This window comes from Homo sapiens, chromosome 6 (assembly GCF_000001405.40).
Source record: "Homo sapiens chromosome 6, GRCh38.p14 Primary Assembly".
Lineage (NCBI taxonomy): Eukaryota > Metazoa > Chordata > Mammalia > Primates > Hominidae > Homo > Homo sapiens.
Window position 1 is genome coordinate 280208 of NC_000006.12, and position 14708 is coordinate 294915.

Genomic DNA, 14708 nt, shown 5'->3' on the forward strand with positions numbered 1-14708 from the left:
TCAGCCTCCCAAGTAGCTGGGACAACAGGCGCCCAACACTACGCCTGGCTAATTTTTTGTATTTTTAGTAGAGACAGGGTTTCACCATGTTAGCCAGGATGGTCTTGATCTCCTGACCTCGTGATCCACCCGCCTCAGCCTCCTAAAGTGCTGGGATTACAGGTGTGAGCCGCCGTGCCAGGCCTTGGCACTCCATCCTCTTTAGCCACCCTTTGTTTCAGTTTTGTGACTCCACCATCAGCTCTTCCTCGAAGACTCTGTCTTATTCATCTTTCACTCTTACCTTTTTATCTTCCAATGCTTATTTAAGTATTTTTTGCAAAATTAGAATTCAGCTGCTTATTTTAAAATTATTAAAGTAACATGCTTATAGCGATGACCTACTCATGGTGGCATGTGCTTTCACTGCTCCCAAAGGTGGAACAAATAATCATTTTTAGAGCAATCAAAATCTTGTGATTTTGCTGTAAGACACTTAACAAAATTTAAGTTGTTGTTGGGTTTGCTGTTTTTTCTCATGGAATTTGGCTCTGTCTTTTCTGCTTGGGTAACCCAGAGGCACCTGAAACTCAGGTGTCTGGGCAGCAATCATCATTTTCTCACTTAACAGGTTCCTCCTCCTCTGCTCCCAGCCTTTGGGAAGGGCACCGCCATCCATGAAGTTCCCTAAGCCAGGAACCCAGAGTTACCCTTTGCGTCTTCCTCCTCCCCATTTCCCAAATCCAGTGAGTTTCAAGTCCTGCACATCTTGCAGTCTGTGGCTTCCTCCACCAGCACCCTTCAGTCCCCCTTCCCCAAGGCCCATCTTTGGTTAAGGTCCTCATTATTTTTTACCTGGCTTTCTGTAAAGGTCTTCTAACTGATCTCCCCGCCTTCAGTCTTACTTGCTAGAATATGACATCCTCTAAACTGCTCTCAAGATGTTCAATCTAAAATCTGAATCCCAGGAAGGCTTCCCAAGCTCCCTGGGAGGAGTATCAGCTTCTGGCAAGGCAGGAGAGGATGATCGTCATCTGTCCCTGCCTCCCTTCCGCTCGCTTCCTGCCTCTCCCCATGCTGCACTCTGTAGGCCCACCTTGGTGTACCACCTTGGGTCCCCAAAGGTGCCCATCTCTCTCGCCACCACGCCTCTGAGTCTGCAACACCCTGCTCCGGAACTGCCCTTCACCCAGGCTTCCTCCTCTGGCTGAGGGATTTTTCCTCTTGGGATGCAGCCTGGACTGGTGGCTCTGGAGCCAGGCAGGCCTGAGTGTGGATCCCGGCTTAGCCATTTGCTCAGCCTCCCTGAGTCTAACGTTCCTATCTGTAAAAAGGAGAAAATAATACCAACCTTCCAGTATTTCTAGGAGGAATTAGAAGTAGTAATAAATATCAATATGTGGTAAAAATGACACAGATACCTCTTATTGTAGGACAAGTAGGATTCTAAGTGCTTTACTCATATTAACTCATTTGTTATTCCAGACTCCATTCACGATTCACCTCCTCCATGCAGCCTGTCTTGATTTCTCAATACCTGACTGGATGCCTTTGCAGATTATTTTTTCCCTCCCTGTTTATGTTCCCTCTCTCTTTGCCCCACAGGTGTCCTGGGAGCTTGGCACATATGGAACACATCAGTTGGACTCCTTTGCTGGCTTCCGGGTGGGTCTGGCGTTTGGAAAAGGTTGAGAAAGGCCAGGGCGTTTCTTCCCCATGCTGTCCATGATCAAGCTGTATCTGTGGCAGCAGGTGTGTCTCTCCCTGCATTAGTTTGTGAGGCACTACAGACTCAGTGGCATAAACAACAGTTATTTACTCACAGTCTGTGAGGCTGGAGGCTGGAAATTCAAGAGGCAGGTGTAGGCAGAGTGCGTTTCCTCTGAGGCCTCTCGCCTTGGCTCATTCTCCCTGTGTCCTCACATGGGCTTCCCTCTGTGTCTCTGTGTCCCCACCTCTTCTTCTTGTAAGGACATTAGTCGGATTGGATCCAGGCCACCCTGATGGCCTCATTTGACCTGACTTACCTTTTGAAAGGCCCGATCTCCAAATGCACTCACATTCTGAGGTGCTTCATAGGAATTTGGGGAAGAGGGACTCAACTCAGCCCCTAGAGATCCCCACCTACTCCGCAGGTGGCCCCCCTGCCGTGGCTCCAGCGGCCACTGGGCTCCAACGAGGCTGTTCTTCCTCCGCCCCTTCAGGCCTACGATGGTCACGGCTTCCCACTGTCTGGTCTCCAAGCCCAGGGCTCCTCTGGGTTCTCTTCACCCTGCCATGCGATTCATGAAGTGATTCCTCACTGAAGGTGCTTCAACTGTCTGACTGGAGTTTCATTTGCTGCTGCTGGGACACTTGAGGGTGCCTTGGCTGCGAGTACCCTGGACCACTTTCTTTCTTCTGCCCTGAACACCTGGGCGTGCAGCTCTGTGCTCCCTATGGAGGTGCAGGTTCCTTGGGGGCAGAAACCATGCCTTGCTCTTTGTGCACCCGCAGGGCCTTGCCCGGGGTCTGATGTATGTAGAGCGGGCGCCAGGTGTTCAGTTCAATGCCATCATTGACGATGGCTTCTGGCGCCACTCTCCCCAGCATTCTCTCCAGCCTCCCGAGCACTGAGTGTTGTGGACTTGGAAACGGCTCCTGGGGATCTCCTACTTCCACTTCTTCCCCTACAGTCCTGCTCCTGTTCATCTCATGATGCTCAGAGAGATGTGGGAAGCAAGGCATCCTTACTTGGCCTCAAACGACCTTCAAATTCTCCTGCTCCTGCCGTGACCATGACCACCGCCTCCTGCTTTCCAGAACATCCTCCGACTCCAGCCTTTGTGTGGCTGCTCACATCCCTCCTCCCACCAGAAGCAGTGGTTGCTGTCCTCACCTCCTGCTGGAATTGTACTCAGCCTTCCGGGGGAGATGCTCAAAATATCACGATACCATGGATACTGAGCAAACACAAAGCAGCTTGGAGCAGGAGTGGGGTTTAAAGCCTGAAGGCTCCCAAGCTGTGCCTGGTGTTCACCCTTTAGTTGCTAGACAGTGGAAAGGTAGGGGGAGCCCCAGAGGAGGGGCCTTTGTAGTGAGGAGGGAATCTGGACAGCGAATATTTTCTGATTCTGCCGATTCGTGTGGCCGCGAAAGATCACTGAATGCGTCCGTTGCTAAGTGGCTTAGACTAGCATCTGATGATCTTCAAAGGCCTTTCACGCTCTACAATTTGATTTTCTTCAATACATGTCAAATTTGATTTGCTGATTTAGCTCATTGCCAACCATCTATCTCTCAAGGCTGAGTTTTCCTCAAGAGGAAAAGGTTTCCCTTCACGACTAAAACGTTCCCAAACCTGTATTCACAGAATTATGCCACTTTTATAGATTTGTAGCCTTTCTAAATTCAAAGGCTGTTCTCAGAAATGGTACTTGTGAGCACCCCATATAAAGGGAGAAGGGAAGGGGTGGGCACAGTGAAAGGTGGAAATTCACCAAATCAGCTGCGGCTGAGAAGCAGGAGCACAGTCATATGGCCCTTTCACTTGGCATACGGCACCTGCATCACTCCCTACATATGGCCCCTTTGGAAGCGATACTTCATAAACCAAGAGCTCCAGAACTGCCCAAGACAGGCCAATCATATTCTTTGCCCTAAATAACCAAAGTTGTTCATCTGGAAACACATATAAGTATGTATGTTTGAAATAACTTCACAGCAGTACAGAAAGGTAAGGATGCTTGTTTTCACGGAAAGGAAGAGTCAGCTGAGGCAGTTCTAAGCATGGCTTCCTCTAAGTTCCCAAAGCAAGTTTTACAAACTCAGAGTATACTTCATGACATGGAATCACTTACGTGTGGGTCCCTCTTTCCCATGAAGTTATAAAGCAACACCGAGTTAAGAGTGGGGCAGGTTGTTATTTCTGTAACCCCAGTTACTAGCACAATGCCTAGAACATAGGAGGTTCTCAAAAAATGTTGGTTGAATGAATTAAAAAGGCCCCTTAATGCTTGGAGATAGAGAATGTGCACAGGGCTTGTGAAACCCTGTTACCTGGAGAGCTACCTGGGCTGAGGGACAGTATGGAGGAGGAGACTTAAGAGGGGAAATTAAAAGTGATTAATTACCAACTCATTGATGCACTCAGTCTCTCCATTTCATGAAAATCTAACAACTTTTAGGAGGTTGTCCATCTCCTTTTAAATAAATACTGTTTGAAGCATTGGAATTGCCTCAATTTAATGTTACAAGAAAAAGTTATTAGACTCTCATAATTGTAAGATGTTTTCCAGGGAAAAGATTCAAATAGAACCTGATACCTTATTGACTTGTTTGAGGAAAAGATCAAAATGTGTTTTTCTCCATGAAGAAAGATCAAAATGTGTTTTTCTCCATGAAGAAATATTGACATCGACGTTTCCTCAGCCATTATTTCCCTTCCAGAAAGCATCAATTGCCTGATCCAAGCCTTGAGCAGAAATTCGTTCCTGCCATGTGTTCCAAGCAGCTGAGTGTGCCTGGCCCTGCCCAGCAATGGGAGGCAGCTGCTCTCCTTCAACATCTCACACAGGGAATTATTTGTACCTAAAGAGGATGGTGTTTAAATGATAATTGTCTTTTTCTCATTAAAGCTAAAGTATATTTCACCAAAATATACCACAGTTGAGGGTAACCAACTGCCCCACATTGCTCGTGACTAAAGGGGTTCCTGGGACACAGAACTTTCAGTGTCAAAATCAGGAAAATCCTGGGCAAACCGTAGCACAGAGGCTTTTATACCAAATAGAAGATTGTGCCCCCTTTTAATGTGGTGACTAAACATTTTAGAAATAAAAAATTCTACCAAATTAAATAGAAACTAACCGATACAACTAAAACCATATATTTAAGAAAACAGAAAAAGAAGGCCAAGGGATTATTATTGTTAAGTCTGTGAAAGGGTTGCACTTAATCCACAACTAGAGGAAAGCATGTTCTGTTTCAAAGGAGCTGTTCTGCGAGCACTCGATTAGATGTCTTAACTTCCGCAGCCCTGTGATCCTCAGATATGTAACGTTACCAATTAGAACCAACACTTACACTGCCTCTGAAGTTCTAGAGTTGCTATTACTAAAAACACATACTTTTAGACCAAAAAGAAGCTTCATACCATGGCTTGAGTAAAACACCAACAATGCCGAGAGCTTCCTGTCCCTTTGGCTTGGTGGTTATCACTGCAACAAAAATAGTGAAATTTTGAAAGCAAAAGTTTATTTTAAATTGTACATATTTTTAAAAGCACTACAGTAAGAAAATATGTCCACATATCTCTCTGTCTTATATATCAGTTATCTCTCTGCCCATCCACTGCACCTACCCACCTGTTAAGCTGCCCTGTAAACCTCAACAAGCAGGAGGTGAACTGCCATTTAAAAGTTACAACATTTTCTGTCTGTAGAGATAAAGATCTCATCTCACCTTTAAGACAGACTGTGGCTTTGCTTGGGAAAAGTTACCATCATGGACACTTTAATTACATCAGAGGTAAGATAGGTACTGCTTTGTATTTTGGGGAGGGAGGGCAGATAAACTGTTGTCATTTAAGCCAGATATAAATGTTTTTACATTGACACATTGTTCTAGTCTGTTCAGTAATGCAAACTGTACATTGATGAAACAGGGCAAGCTTAGCCCCAGACTTTTCTGCCCACCTATTTTTTTGCAAGGGGTGTGTATGAGAGATGAGAAAGAAATCTATCCCAACCTTGTGTGATCATGCTGCAATTGCTTCAGCCTCTTCCCAGCAGTTGTCCTCATGTTAGTTGTTGTTTGCGGGGTCTGGAGTTGAGGCCCCATGTAGAAAGGGCACACAGGTGTGCAGAGAAGGTGAAAAGCACAGGTCAGACCAGGCACGGTGGCTCACACCTGTAATCTCAGCACTTTGGGAGGCCGAGGTGGGTGGATTGCCTGAGCTCAGGAGTTCAAGACCAGCCTAGGCAACATGGTGAAACCCTGTCTCTACTAAAAATATAAAAAATTAGCAGGGAGTGTTGGCATGCCCTTGTAATCCCAGCTACTGGGGAGACTGAGGCACAAGAATCGCTTGAACCCAGGAGGCAGAGGTTGCAGTGAGCCAAGATCGCACCACTTCATTCCAGCCTTGGGGACAGAGTGAGACTCTGTCTTAAAAAAAAAAAAAAGTACAGATCAACCTTCACTTGAAGGTCAATGGTCGACGGTATTCTCATGAGTAAACATGATATCCTGGTACCAGGTTGTTGCTTCAGATGAGATTGTCTCATGTGGGCAAGGACAGCTCCTCACCTGCAGACCAAGTGGTGTTTGGTTAAAAAAATAAATAAATAAAAATAAAAAGCAAGCTCTCTGTTGCAAAGAATAGAGAAAATGATCCTGGGTCCATCATCTAGCCTGAGGAACCCTTGATACATGATGATTTTTTCAGAATTCACAGGGTTTTCTTGATGAATAACTAATCAAAAGAATGATAAATATTAACACATGTGAAACCAACGGAGAGTTTATAATGACAGTGTTATATCATGTCATACGAAATGGACTTCCCCTCTCATGGTAAGTGAAATTTCTCATGGGACATTCCATTCTCTCAGGAAAACCCCTGCTCCCTGCAGCCCCCTACCCAGACATTTTTCAGTGTCTTCAGATCCAGTTCAATTTCAGTTTTGCATGAAAGAGTGAATAACAAAAACAAATGAAAGCAGTGCAAAGCTCTGCACTAGGGAAGAGCTCAACAGTGACACTCGGCAGGCAGGCAGAAGCATCTTTAAGGAGGGCCGCCCTAGCCCAGTCACTTCTTTGAGCTGGGGCTTCCCTTGCTGTCCTCCCTTCTGTCTTCACTTCTGGGCTGCCCCCTGGTCCCTGCAGGCATTTGAAGAAGGAGAAGTGTGCCTCAGAGAGGGTAGCTGACGGTGCAGGTGCAGCAAGCACAGATGGTTAGGACCCTCTGTGCAGGGACACTTCGGGTCCATTTCCTGCTGTCCACAAGACTGCAGTCCACATGATCATTTTGAACAGGATTTTAAGAGAGTTGGAGACCTCAGAAAGAGTACCACATACAAGGCAAATGGTAAGACCTTCTGGCCATGTCTCCTTCCGCCCAGGCAAGTTAGGCTGAGGAAGCAATGCCCAAGCTCTTGTCTTACAGGAGTCCTGTCAAACACTGATGAAAATGATGATTATTCTCCTGAGATTAAAAAGGTATTCGTGGTTCAGATTTTGTTAACTGTTTTGGGCTCGAGTCATCAACCATAAAATGTTGTTTTTGTTTTGTTTCGTTTTTAAACCATGAAAAGTTTTAAGGGCCTAGTTTGTTGTCCCAGGTAGACCTTCCTTTGTAGAGACAGGGAAGTAGATGGGCCAAGTCAGACCATTCCACACACGGAAAATGAACACAAGCAACTTCCATGATGGCCATGCATAAGTCAGGCATGGTTTCTTACCAAAGATCAAAAAACAACATGATGCCAAGAGGCAGAACCACAGAGAGTCTTGTGCTCTGCCAAGTACGGCTATGGCTGTAGACCAAGGGGTGGAGTACAGCAATACACGGAAGCATTGTGTGCAAGGACTCTCTCCTCTCTCTCCTCTCTCTCTCCTCTCTCTTTCTCTCTCTCTCTGTTGAGTGTGCCCTATATCTGTTTCAGAAACAAAAGACAACAGGATTCTGGTTACTCCTAGAGAGCCATCTCACATGGAAACTACATTGCTCAAGAAAAGGAAACATGAGGAGATGCAGTATTGATGGAGTCTCTGGCATATCAAAGGATGAATTATTTGTGATCCTTATGCCTGGACAAATTCAACAGCCTCCCAGATGTATTTCTTTCCTAAATCAACAAACATCTACATAGTTCCCCACACACTAGGGACTATCTTAGATGCTGGATACTGAGATTGATTAACAACTGGTCCCTGCCCTCAGGCAGCTACCATTTGGGGGAAAACAACAGTTGTCCTGAGAATACACAGGCATGTATGTTCTGACCTGCAGGCTGATAATAATGTGACCTCCAAATTTTAGGAACCAGGGCTCTGTCTTATTTCCCCTTTGCTTGGCACTGTTTTATAATCTGCCTGATAACTTCATTCCTGCAAGCCTCTGCCAATCCTCCCAGGAACTCTGTCCACAGACTTTTGTTGACTCCCAACTAAATGCCTGAGAACATTTTCCCTTTACCTGCTCCCAGATTCTCTGCCCTCCCAGTCATTTACCTGGATATCCATTCCTCTTGCTGCTCTTCCCTGACCCCACACTCTCCAGATATCCGTGCTGAGATCTGAGCCCCGCAAATCTCTTCAGCGAAAGGAGGAAACCACGTTCATAATTAGAAGACTGCTTGGAAGGCTGGAAATTGTGACCTTTGAAGAGTTGAGGTCGTATACCACAGGGGCCCATCCTCATGGTCAGGCTGTTCTGCATGGCCTTGAGAACTCAGGTATTCAACTGGGCAGCCTCTCTCTGGACAATGCTGGAGAAACAGAGAAAATGTTTTGTGCTTTTGCTTCCGTAGTTCCAGGTTCCACCTTTTTTCTTCTTTCCACAATTCATTAGATTCTCACTTTCTTTTACTTTTAGTCAGGCTTTGGCTAGATTAGATCTTCATTTTAACTTCTTGTTCTCAATTTGTTAATAATGAACAATTGTGGCTTAAGAATTCTGCAGAGAACTAACATGATCTATTAGTGTAGATTTAGCTGGTTATTGAGGAGAGGGGGTTGGAGACATTTCTGATTGTCATGACTGAGAGGGTGCTACTGAAATGTAATGAGCACAAGTCAGAGATGCTTCTGAACATTCTGCAGTGCACAGGACAGCCTTCTAGAGCAAAAATGTATCCAGCCTCAAATGTCAGTTTTGCCGAGGTTGAGAAACCCTGGACTGCAATATGTTCAAGAGGCCAGTGAAGATTACATAATTACTTCTCTGTTGGATAGAGGTTAATCTTGATGCTCTGAAATTATCACTAACACCTATAATGATTTGGCTAACTCTAATGGTTGAGCTTCTGCTTGCGGGCTTTTAAACACCGCCACCTTAAAGTTTAAGGTTACTGCTCACTAAATACACTATTAACCAGTTATCCTTAACCATGTGTAAGTATGGACTCAGCTATCCTACACACTCTGTAGACCATTCCTTATTGTGCACACATGAAGGCTTGACTTCTTTCGGAGTTGTTGCCAAAATTTGTGATGTTGGCAGAACTGAGAGGAAGAAAATAACAAGAAGAAAAGTGGAAGTAAAAATCTTACATAGTGTGAAAATCCACCAGGCTTGTGATGCCTTAAAATTTTTATGAGTGAGATAAAGCACAAATGAATAGAGATTCTACTATGGATGTGAAATACGCCAGCTTTGTTGAAGTGTTTCCCTTCTTCCTTTCTTTCCATAATCAAGAGCTAGAGAGTAAAAGTCATAGAACTGCAAGACATGAACAACTGGGAATTATTATTGTAATAAAGAGAGGTGTTCAGGGTTAGGGTGGAGGAGAGTACAGCAAGTCTCTTGTGGGAAACCCCCCAACCCCACAGAATCAATAATTTTTTTTTTTTTGAGACGGAGTCTTGCTCTGTTGCCCAGGCAGAAGTGCAGTGGCACAATCTTGGCTCACTGCAGCCTCTGCCTCCTGGGTTCCAGCGATTCTCCTGCCTCAGCCTCCCGGGTAGCTGGGATTACAGGCACACGCCACCACGCCCGGCTAATGTTTGTATTTTCAGTAGAGACGGGATTTTGCCATGTTGGCCAGGCTGGTCGAGAACTCCTGACCTTAGGTGATCGGCCCGCCTCGGCCTCCCAAAGTGCTGGGATTACAGGCTTGAGCCACCACGCCCAGCCAAAACCAATAATTTTTTTTTTTTTAAATCTTACTCTTCTGACTTCTGGTGTTAATAGTCTCCTCTTTTCCTATTTAACCCAAAAGAAAAATTTGAGATTTTGATAGGAACTCTGGGCATGTGGACCTTTTAGGCCATACTGAATGCTGATTTTGACGGTAAGGAGGAAGCCATGGCAGGTTCTGAGTTTAGGGGGAAAAGCAGATGGTCCAAGCTGGAGAAATATATCTACAAGAAGAGTATGAATAAGAGAGAAATATTGCAAGTGGATGACAGAAGAAAAAAATCAGTATGAATTTGTCATTCATGGTCAAGTACCAGTTTATGAACTGGTTGTGTTCTTAAACGTTCATCTGACTGTTGGATGAATGGCCCAAGGAGGGCAGAAGGCTGCAGAAGTAATTCATTGGTTGCTGGATAGAAGCTTCAAAAATTCACAGTTTAATGCTCTTGTTTTAAAGAGAAAAAAAAAGCTAGCTCAGAAAAGTTGATCATCTTGCTCAAGACCTCCTTAAGAATTAGAAATAGAGGCTGATTACTGGGATTCCCCAGGCAGTCCACTAACGATTCTGTGTTGTCTCTAAGCAGGAAGGTGGTAAAAACAGTTACTTAATGGCAGTGTGTGGCAGAGGGGAAAGGGCAGGCTGTCCAGGTGACTGAGAAGCAGGCGGGAGAAGAGGAAGTGAAGGCAGTGAAGAAGGAACACTCTCCCAAAACAAGAGGCAGAAAGGGCACTCCGGGTCTGGGTCCCATTCTACCTAGAGAAAACATGCAAGCGCATATTGATTGAGGGCTTTCTACACGGGGGGTTTTGATACCATTTGTTGCCCAGAAGATATGGGGTACAAGTACAGAAATGGCGACAGATGGAGTCTACAAGCTCTTTCCAAACGTTCACATTCCTCAGAACCTCACCCGTTTTCTCGGCCACAAGAAATTATTAATTTATTTGACAAATATTTTAAAAATCACTATTTTGTGCTAGATTTTGTCCCAGGCCACATGGCTGTATTACTGAATAAGACAACTTTTTTTTTTTTTTTAATCTGAAAGTTGCTGGCTAGTGAGACAGATAAAAAGAAAGCAAATACATGTATTTCCGATCAATAATACGGAGTAATATGATAGTGACTGGAGGACCAACCTGGAATTGGGTGGTTAGGAAAAGCCTCTTAGGAGAGATGGCATTTGGGCTGATACCTCAGCGATAACAGGCAGGTATGCAGAGAGCTGGGGATCCAGGTGTCTGGATAGAGAGCACAGCCCAGCAAGCCTGACAGGCTCAAGGAACAGACAGGAGACCAGCATGTGTGTAACTCGCTTAGCAAGAAGATAAAATGAAGTCAGCAGGGGTGAGCCAGGGCACGTCAGATTGACGCATGTACTCATTCAGCAAATATTTATTAAGCACCTACTATGTTCAGGACATTGTTGAGGATACATAAATTAAGAAGAAAAACCACTGGCTCAAGGATTCTGTCGCTGGAGAGAAACTTCAGAGTTTAATAACGTTGATAGAACACCCAAAACAATTCTGCTACAGTTTAGAAATTGATCCATTCCAGACAGAACCACAATGCAGACATTAAGGGACACACATCATCTAAGGCCGTGAGGTCTGAGGTCAGAGATCCAGCCATCTGCTCCCCCAGGGTAGGGAGGTCGGGCCTCCCCGGGGTGAGTCACGTAGCCCACCTCTCCCCACCAGGCGAGGCTTCTCGGTCTTGGTGCATGGGGCAGGGCCGCAGGAAATCCCCCAGCCTAAATCTGCCGCACTCAGAAAACCCAGGCAGGGGAGCCCCCAGAGACCAGGCCTCTGATTAGCACCTGATTCACGGAGGCAGCCAAGGCTGGGTAGCGACTGCTGGTAACTGGCCCCCGGAGTCGCCCCAGGGGAAAAGGCCAAAGGGGGATCTGGAGACCCCCGGCCGGGGAGCGGGCTCCGAGACGAGCGCAGCCGCCCGGTCAGGGCAGCGCCTGCGCGTCCGCCAGGCCCCGCCGCGCAGCCTCGGGTGTCCCGGCGGGGCGGCTCGGGCCGCGCACGCGCTCTGGCCTCCGGGGCCGGCCGCCTGGGAGCCCGAGCCTAGTGCCTCCCACGCCCGGCGGCCGCGAGCCGGGGTCCGCGAGGGCGGAGTGGGGCGCGGCAGCCAGGAACCCGACTACGAATCCCAGGGTGCGGGCGGGCGGAGCGAGGAGGGACGCTGGGCCTGCCCGGTGCGCACGGGGGCGGGGACCGGCAAGGCGGGACCATTTCCCGGCATAGGCTCCGGTGCCCCTGCCCGGCTCCCGCCGGGAAGTTCTAGGCCGCCGCACAGAAAGCCCTGCCCTCCACGCCGGGTCTCTGGAGCGCCCTGGGTTGCCCGGCCGGTCCCTGCCGCTGACTTGTTGACACTGCGAGCACTCAGTCCCTCCCGCGCGCCTCCTCCCCGCCCGCCCCGCCGCTCCTCCTCCCTGTAACATGCCATAGTGCGCCTGCGACCACACGGCCGGGGCGCTAGCGTTCGCCTTCAGCCACCATGGGGAATGGGATGAACAAGGTAACGTCTTCCCTCGTTCGCGCTGGGTTTGCCTCCGCTCCGACGCCCTGCCGTCTCGCCGGCGTCGGCTGCCCGACGACTCGAGCCCGGGGTGCCCTTTCCCGCGGTGGGGACGGGCGCGGAGGGAGGGGCGGCGCGCCTGGGCGGCGACCGCGGAGTCGGGGTTCGGAGGTGTTCCCGCCCCCACCCCACCCGGCTTCCGGGTAGGCAGCCCCCAGCCGCCTGCCTTGCCAGCCGGTGCGTTTTCGTGGCTGAAACAAGCCGCGCCCTTTGAAAGCGTTGACACTTGTTCTGCCGAGAGGTCAGCTGAGCTCCGAATGGATGTGGCTTCTTTTTTGCCCTCCTCTTCGCTCCCAAACTACGCTCTTGAAGCCACCACCGCCCCCCCCACATCATTAGTAAACGGGTGTCCTCTGTAATTTCCTCTTTCTCCTCAGATTCTGTGTGTGTGCCTGTGAGCACAGAGAAGTTTTTCTTGTGGACAGAGAAGTTAACAGAGTCCTAAGTCCTGAGCTGTTTCTAGATAGTGGGGAGGAGAGAAAAGATTCAGAGTTGATTAGGTTATGTGACTTCTGCAACAAGGGCAACCTGTTGCTGGCTGCTTGCGCTGATGAGGCCTTCTGGAAAATCTGTGTTGCTCCATTTGTCCCGTCCGTTTCTGGGCCCCACCCTGTGTTCTTTTGTTGCCCGCACCTCACTTCCCGGGCGGTGGGCTAGCCTTTCCCGTCCAGGGAAGTTGCCAGATTCCAGCTCTGGCAGCTGAGAGTTGCCGGGGTGTATTCATGTGAACCACAGGGTTAAGGATTTTGTTACTTGGTACTTGGCTGGTTTCGAGGAAGGATTGACAAGACTTTACAAAGCCCGCAACAAAGACAAGTACCTTTTTACGGGTCTTTGAATGGTCCTGGATTAGATGAGTCGTCTTTCTGCTTCACTTTTTCATTGCGCTCCACCCACCCACATCTCTACATGCCGTCAGCTTCCACACTGGGTGGGGATGGCAATGTGGCTGTGTTTTTTTTCATGTCCCTCAGCACTGGGTCAGCAGTGGTTTGGGTGTTGGGGCTGGAGTGTTGCAAATGCGGATTCACGGTAGGGCAGGGAAAACCTAGCTAACTTTTCACGTGCGCATGTCGTGTTTATTGTGTCCTGGTTACCCAGTTTGTGAAAGAACTATTGTGTGTTTGGGACCTGCATATCAATACTGGGGTATTTTGGTAAAGAGAATTGTATTCACTTTTTTTTTTTTTTTTTTTTTGGCGAGTGATCAAGTTTGGAAACAGACTGTCTCTCTCTTGGATAAATACTTGTATTATATTCCGATGAGCACTGGAATCCATCAGCACCACGAGCCTTCTGCTTTTTAAATTAAAACAGAACAATAAAGATGGTCATCATAAGTCTGTGGGCTCCGTTTGCCTTCCCATTGGTGGTGGTATCTCAGCTTTCCTTTGGCTGTTTCTAGTTTTCCCACTTGAGCTGTTCACTCTCCACCGTTTTCAGCATTTAATTTATAGTATTTGTGTAATACAATTCAAAAAATATATTTAGGAATACAGATGGTTGCCTAAGGGATCAACGTTATTTTCATGCTTTTCAACAAAAGCAGTAATATTCATATACTTTTTACCTTTCAAAATGGGTAATAAATTTCTTGACTTTTATTATCTTGTGAATAGAGACTCACAGTGTATCAATGAAGAAATACATGTATAGAGAGATTTAGAGACTTCCCTGCTTCAACACTTATTGATTATGTACATACTATGAGCCAGGTGTTGTGCTAGTGGGTGGGGAGGGGGCAAAGGGAGTACAGTGGTAAATGACCCAAAGATTCTTCACAGAACCTTCAGTACAGGTCAGCATTGTCCAGCACTAATATGATGCGAGCTATATATGTAACTTAAAATGTTCCGGTAGCCACATTAAAAAATAAACCGGTGAAATTAATTTTAATAATATATTTTATTTAACAATATATTAAAACTATTGTTTCAACATGTAACCAATATATAAAGTTATTCATGGAAGATTCCATGTTTTTTACTATGTCTTTGTGAAAGGAAAAATCTCGGGACCCCCAGATCACTTAACCTTCAAAGTCTAGTGTGTATTTTATGCCTAAATCACATCTCATTTTGGACTAGCCACATTTGGAGTACTCGATAGTCACTGTGGCTAATGGCTGCTGTGTTGCACAACACAGGGTGTGTATGTGTGTGGGGGTGAGAGAGAGAACAAACACAAGGTAGGGAGGAGTAGAGGCTCCAGAGGATAAAATAGGCAATTTCAGAAAAGTGGGGAAAGCAGAAGATGGGATGAAAGTGACCTAGAAGGGGCATTCAGCCCAGGCAA

General features: G+C 47.0%; 1 protein-coding gene across 5 annotated transcripts in view, besides 13 other annotated features; it reads left to right on the forward strand.

The window, feature by feature from the left end:
* Positions 1070–1224: a silencer, noted in NCBI's record as "fragment chr6:281277-281431 (GRCh37/hg19 assembly coordinates)". NCBI's record gives its function as "represses an EF-1alpha promoter that drives an FKBP-Casp9 reporter gene in an ReSE screen in HepG2 liver carcinoma cells {active_cell/tissue: HepG2}" and the evidence as "EXISTENCE:reporter gene assay evidence [ECO:0000049][PMID:32094911]".
* Positions 6811–6880: an enhancer, noted in NCBI's record as "active region_23815". NCBI's record gives its function as "activates an Ori minimal core promoter by ATAC-STARR-seq in GM12878 lymphoblastoid cells {active_cell/tissue: GM12878}" and the evidence as "EXISTENCE:reporter gene assay evidence [ECO:0000049][PMID:35858748]".
* Positions 7101–7170: an enhancer, noted in NCBI's record as "active region_23816". NCBI's record gives its function as "activates an Ori minimal core promoter by ATAC-STARR-seq in GM12878 lymphoblastoid cells {active_cell/tissue: GM12878}" and the evidence as "EXISTENCE:reporter gene assay evidence [ECO:0000049][PMID:35858748]".
* Positions 11243–11532: an enhancer, noted in NCBI's record as "active region_23817". NCBI's record gives its function as "activates an Ori minimal core promoter by ATAC-STARR-seq in GM12878 lymphoblastoid cells {active_cell/tissue: GM12878}" and the evidence as "EXISTENCE:reporter gene assay evidence [ECO:0000049][PMID:35858748]".
* Positions 11243–12662: a biological region, named in NCBI's record as "H3K27ac hESC enhancers GRCh37_chr6:291666-292166 and GRCh37_chr6:292167-292667".
* Positions 11459–11959: an enhancer, noted in NCBI's record as "H3K27ac hESC enhancer chr6:291666-292166 (GRCh37/hg19 assembly coordinates)". NCBI's record gives its function as "activates a minimal SCP1, AML or CMV promoter by ChIP-STARR-seq in primed H9 embryonic stem cells {active_cell/tissue: H9 hESC(primed)}" and the evidence as "EXISTENCE:reporter gene assay evidence [ECO:0000049][PMID:30033119]".
* Positions 11643–12662: a silencer, noted in NCBI's record as "silent region_16800". NCBI's record gives its function as "represses an Ori minimal core promoter by ATAC-STARR-seq in GM12878 lymphoblastoid cells {active_cell/tissue: GM12878}" and the evidence as "EXISTENCE:reporter gene assay evidence [ECO:0000049][PMID:35858748]".
* Positions 11960–12460: an enhancer, noted in NCBI's record as "H3K27ac hESC enhancer chr6:292167-292667 (GRCh37/hg19 assembly coordinates)". NCBI's record gives its function as "activates a minimal SCP1, AML or CMV promoter by ChIP-STARR-seq in naive H9 embryonic stem cells {active_cell/tissue: H9 hESC(naive)}" and the evidence as "EXISTENCE:reporter gene assay evidence [ECO:0000049][PMID:30033119]".
* Positions 12280–14708, forward strand: part of DUSP22 (dual specificity phosphatase 22) — a 58869-nt gene continuing 56440 nt past the window's right edge. For all 5 annotated transcript variants that reach the window (NR_104473.3, NR_104474.3, NR_104475.3 and 2 more), the window contains exon 1: positions 12280–12353. Coding sequence is in view for 2 of the 5 variants with exons in the window: in NM_001286555.3 (NP_001273484.1) it covers positions 12333–12353 (21 nt within the window). In the remaining 3 variants the exon portion in view is untranslated. The remainder of the gene's footprint in view (positions 12354–14708) is intronic.
* Positions 12753–13012: an enhancer, noted in NCBI's record as "active region_23818". NCBI's record gives its function as "activates an Ori minimal core promoter by ATAC-STARR-seq in GM12878 lymphoblastoid cells {active_cell/tissue: GM12878}" and the evidence as "EXISTENCE:reporter gene assay evidence [ECO:0000049][PMID:35858748]".
* Positions 13407–13563: a silencer, noted in NCBI's record as "fragment chr6:293614-293770 (GRCh37/hg19 assembly coordinates)". NCBI's record gives its function as "represses an EF-1alpha promoter that drives an FKBP-Casp9 reporter gene in an ReSE screen in K562 erythroleukemia cells {active_cell/tissue: K562}" and the evidence as "EXISTENCE:reporter gene assay evidence [ECO:0000049][PMID:32094911]".
* Positions 13407–13572: a biological region, named in NCBI's record as "ReSE screen-validated silencer GRCh37_chr6:293614-293770".
* Positions 13443–13502: a silencer, noted in NCBI's record as "silent region_16801". NCBI's record gives its function as "represses an Ori minimal core promoter by ATAC-STARR-seq in GM12878 lymphoblastoid cells {active_cell/tissue: GM12878}" and the evidence as "EXISTENCE:reporter gene assay evidence [ECO:0000049][PMID:35858748]".
* Positions 13513–13572: a silencer, noted in NCBI's record as "silent region_16802". NCBI's record gives its function as "represses an Ori minimal core promoter by ATAC-STARR-seq in GM12878 lymphoblastoid cells {active_cell/tissue: GM12878}" and the evidence as "EXISTENCE:reporter gene assay evidence [ECO:0000049][PMID:35858748]".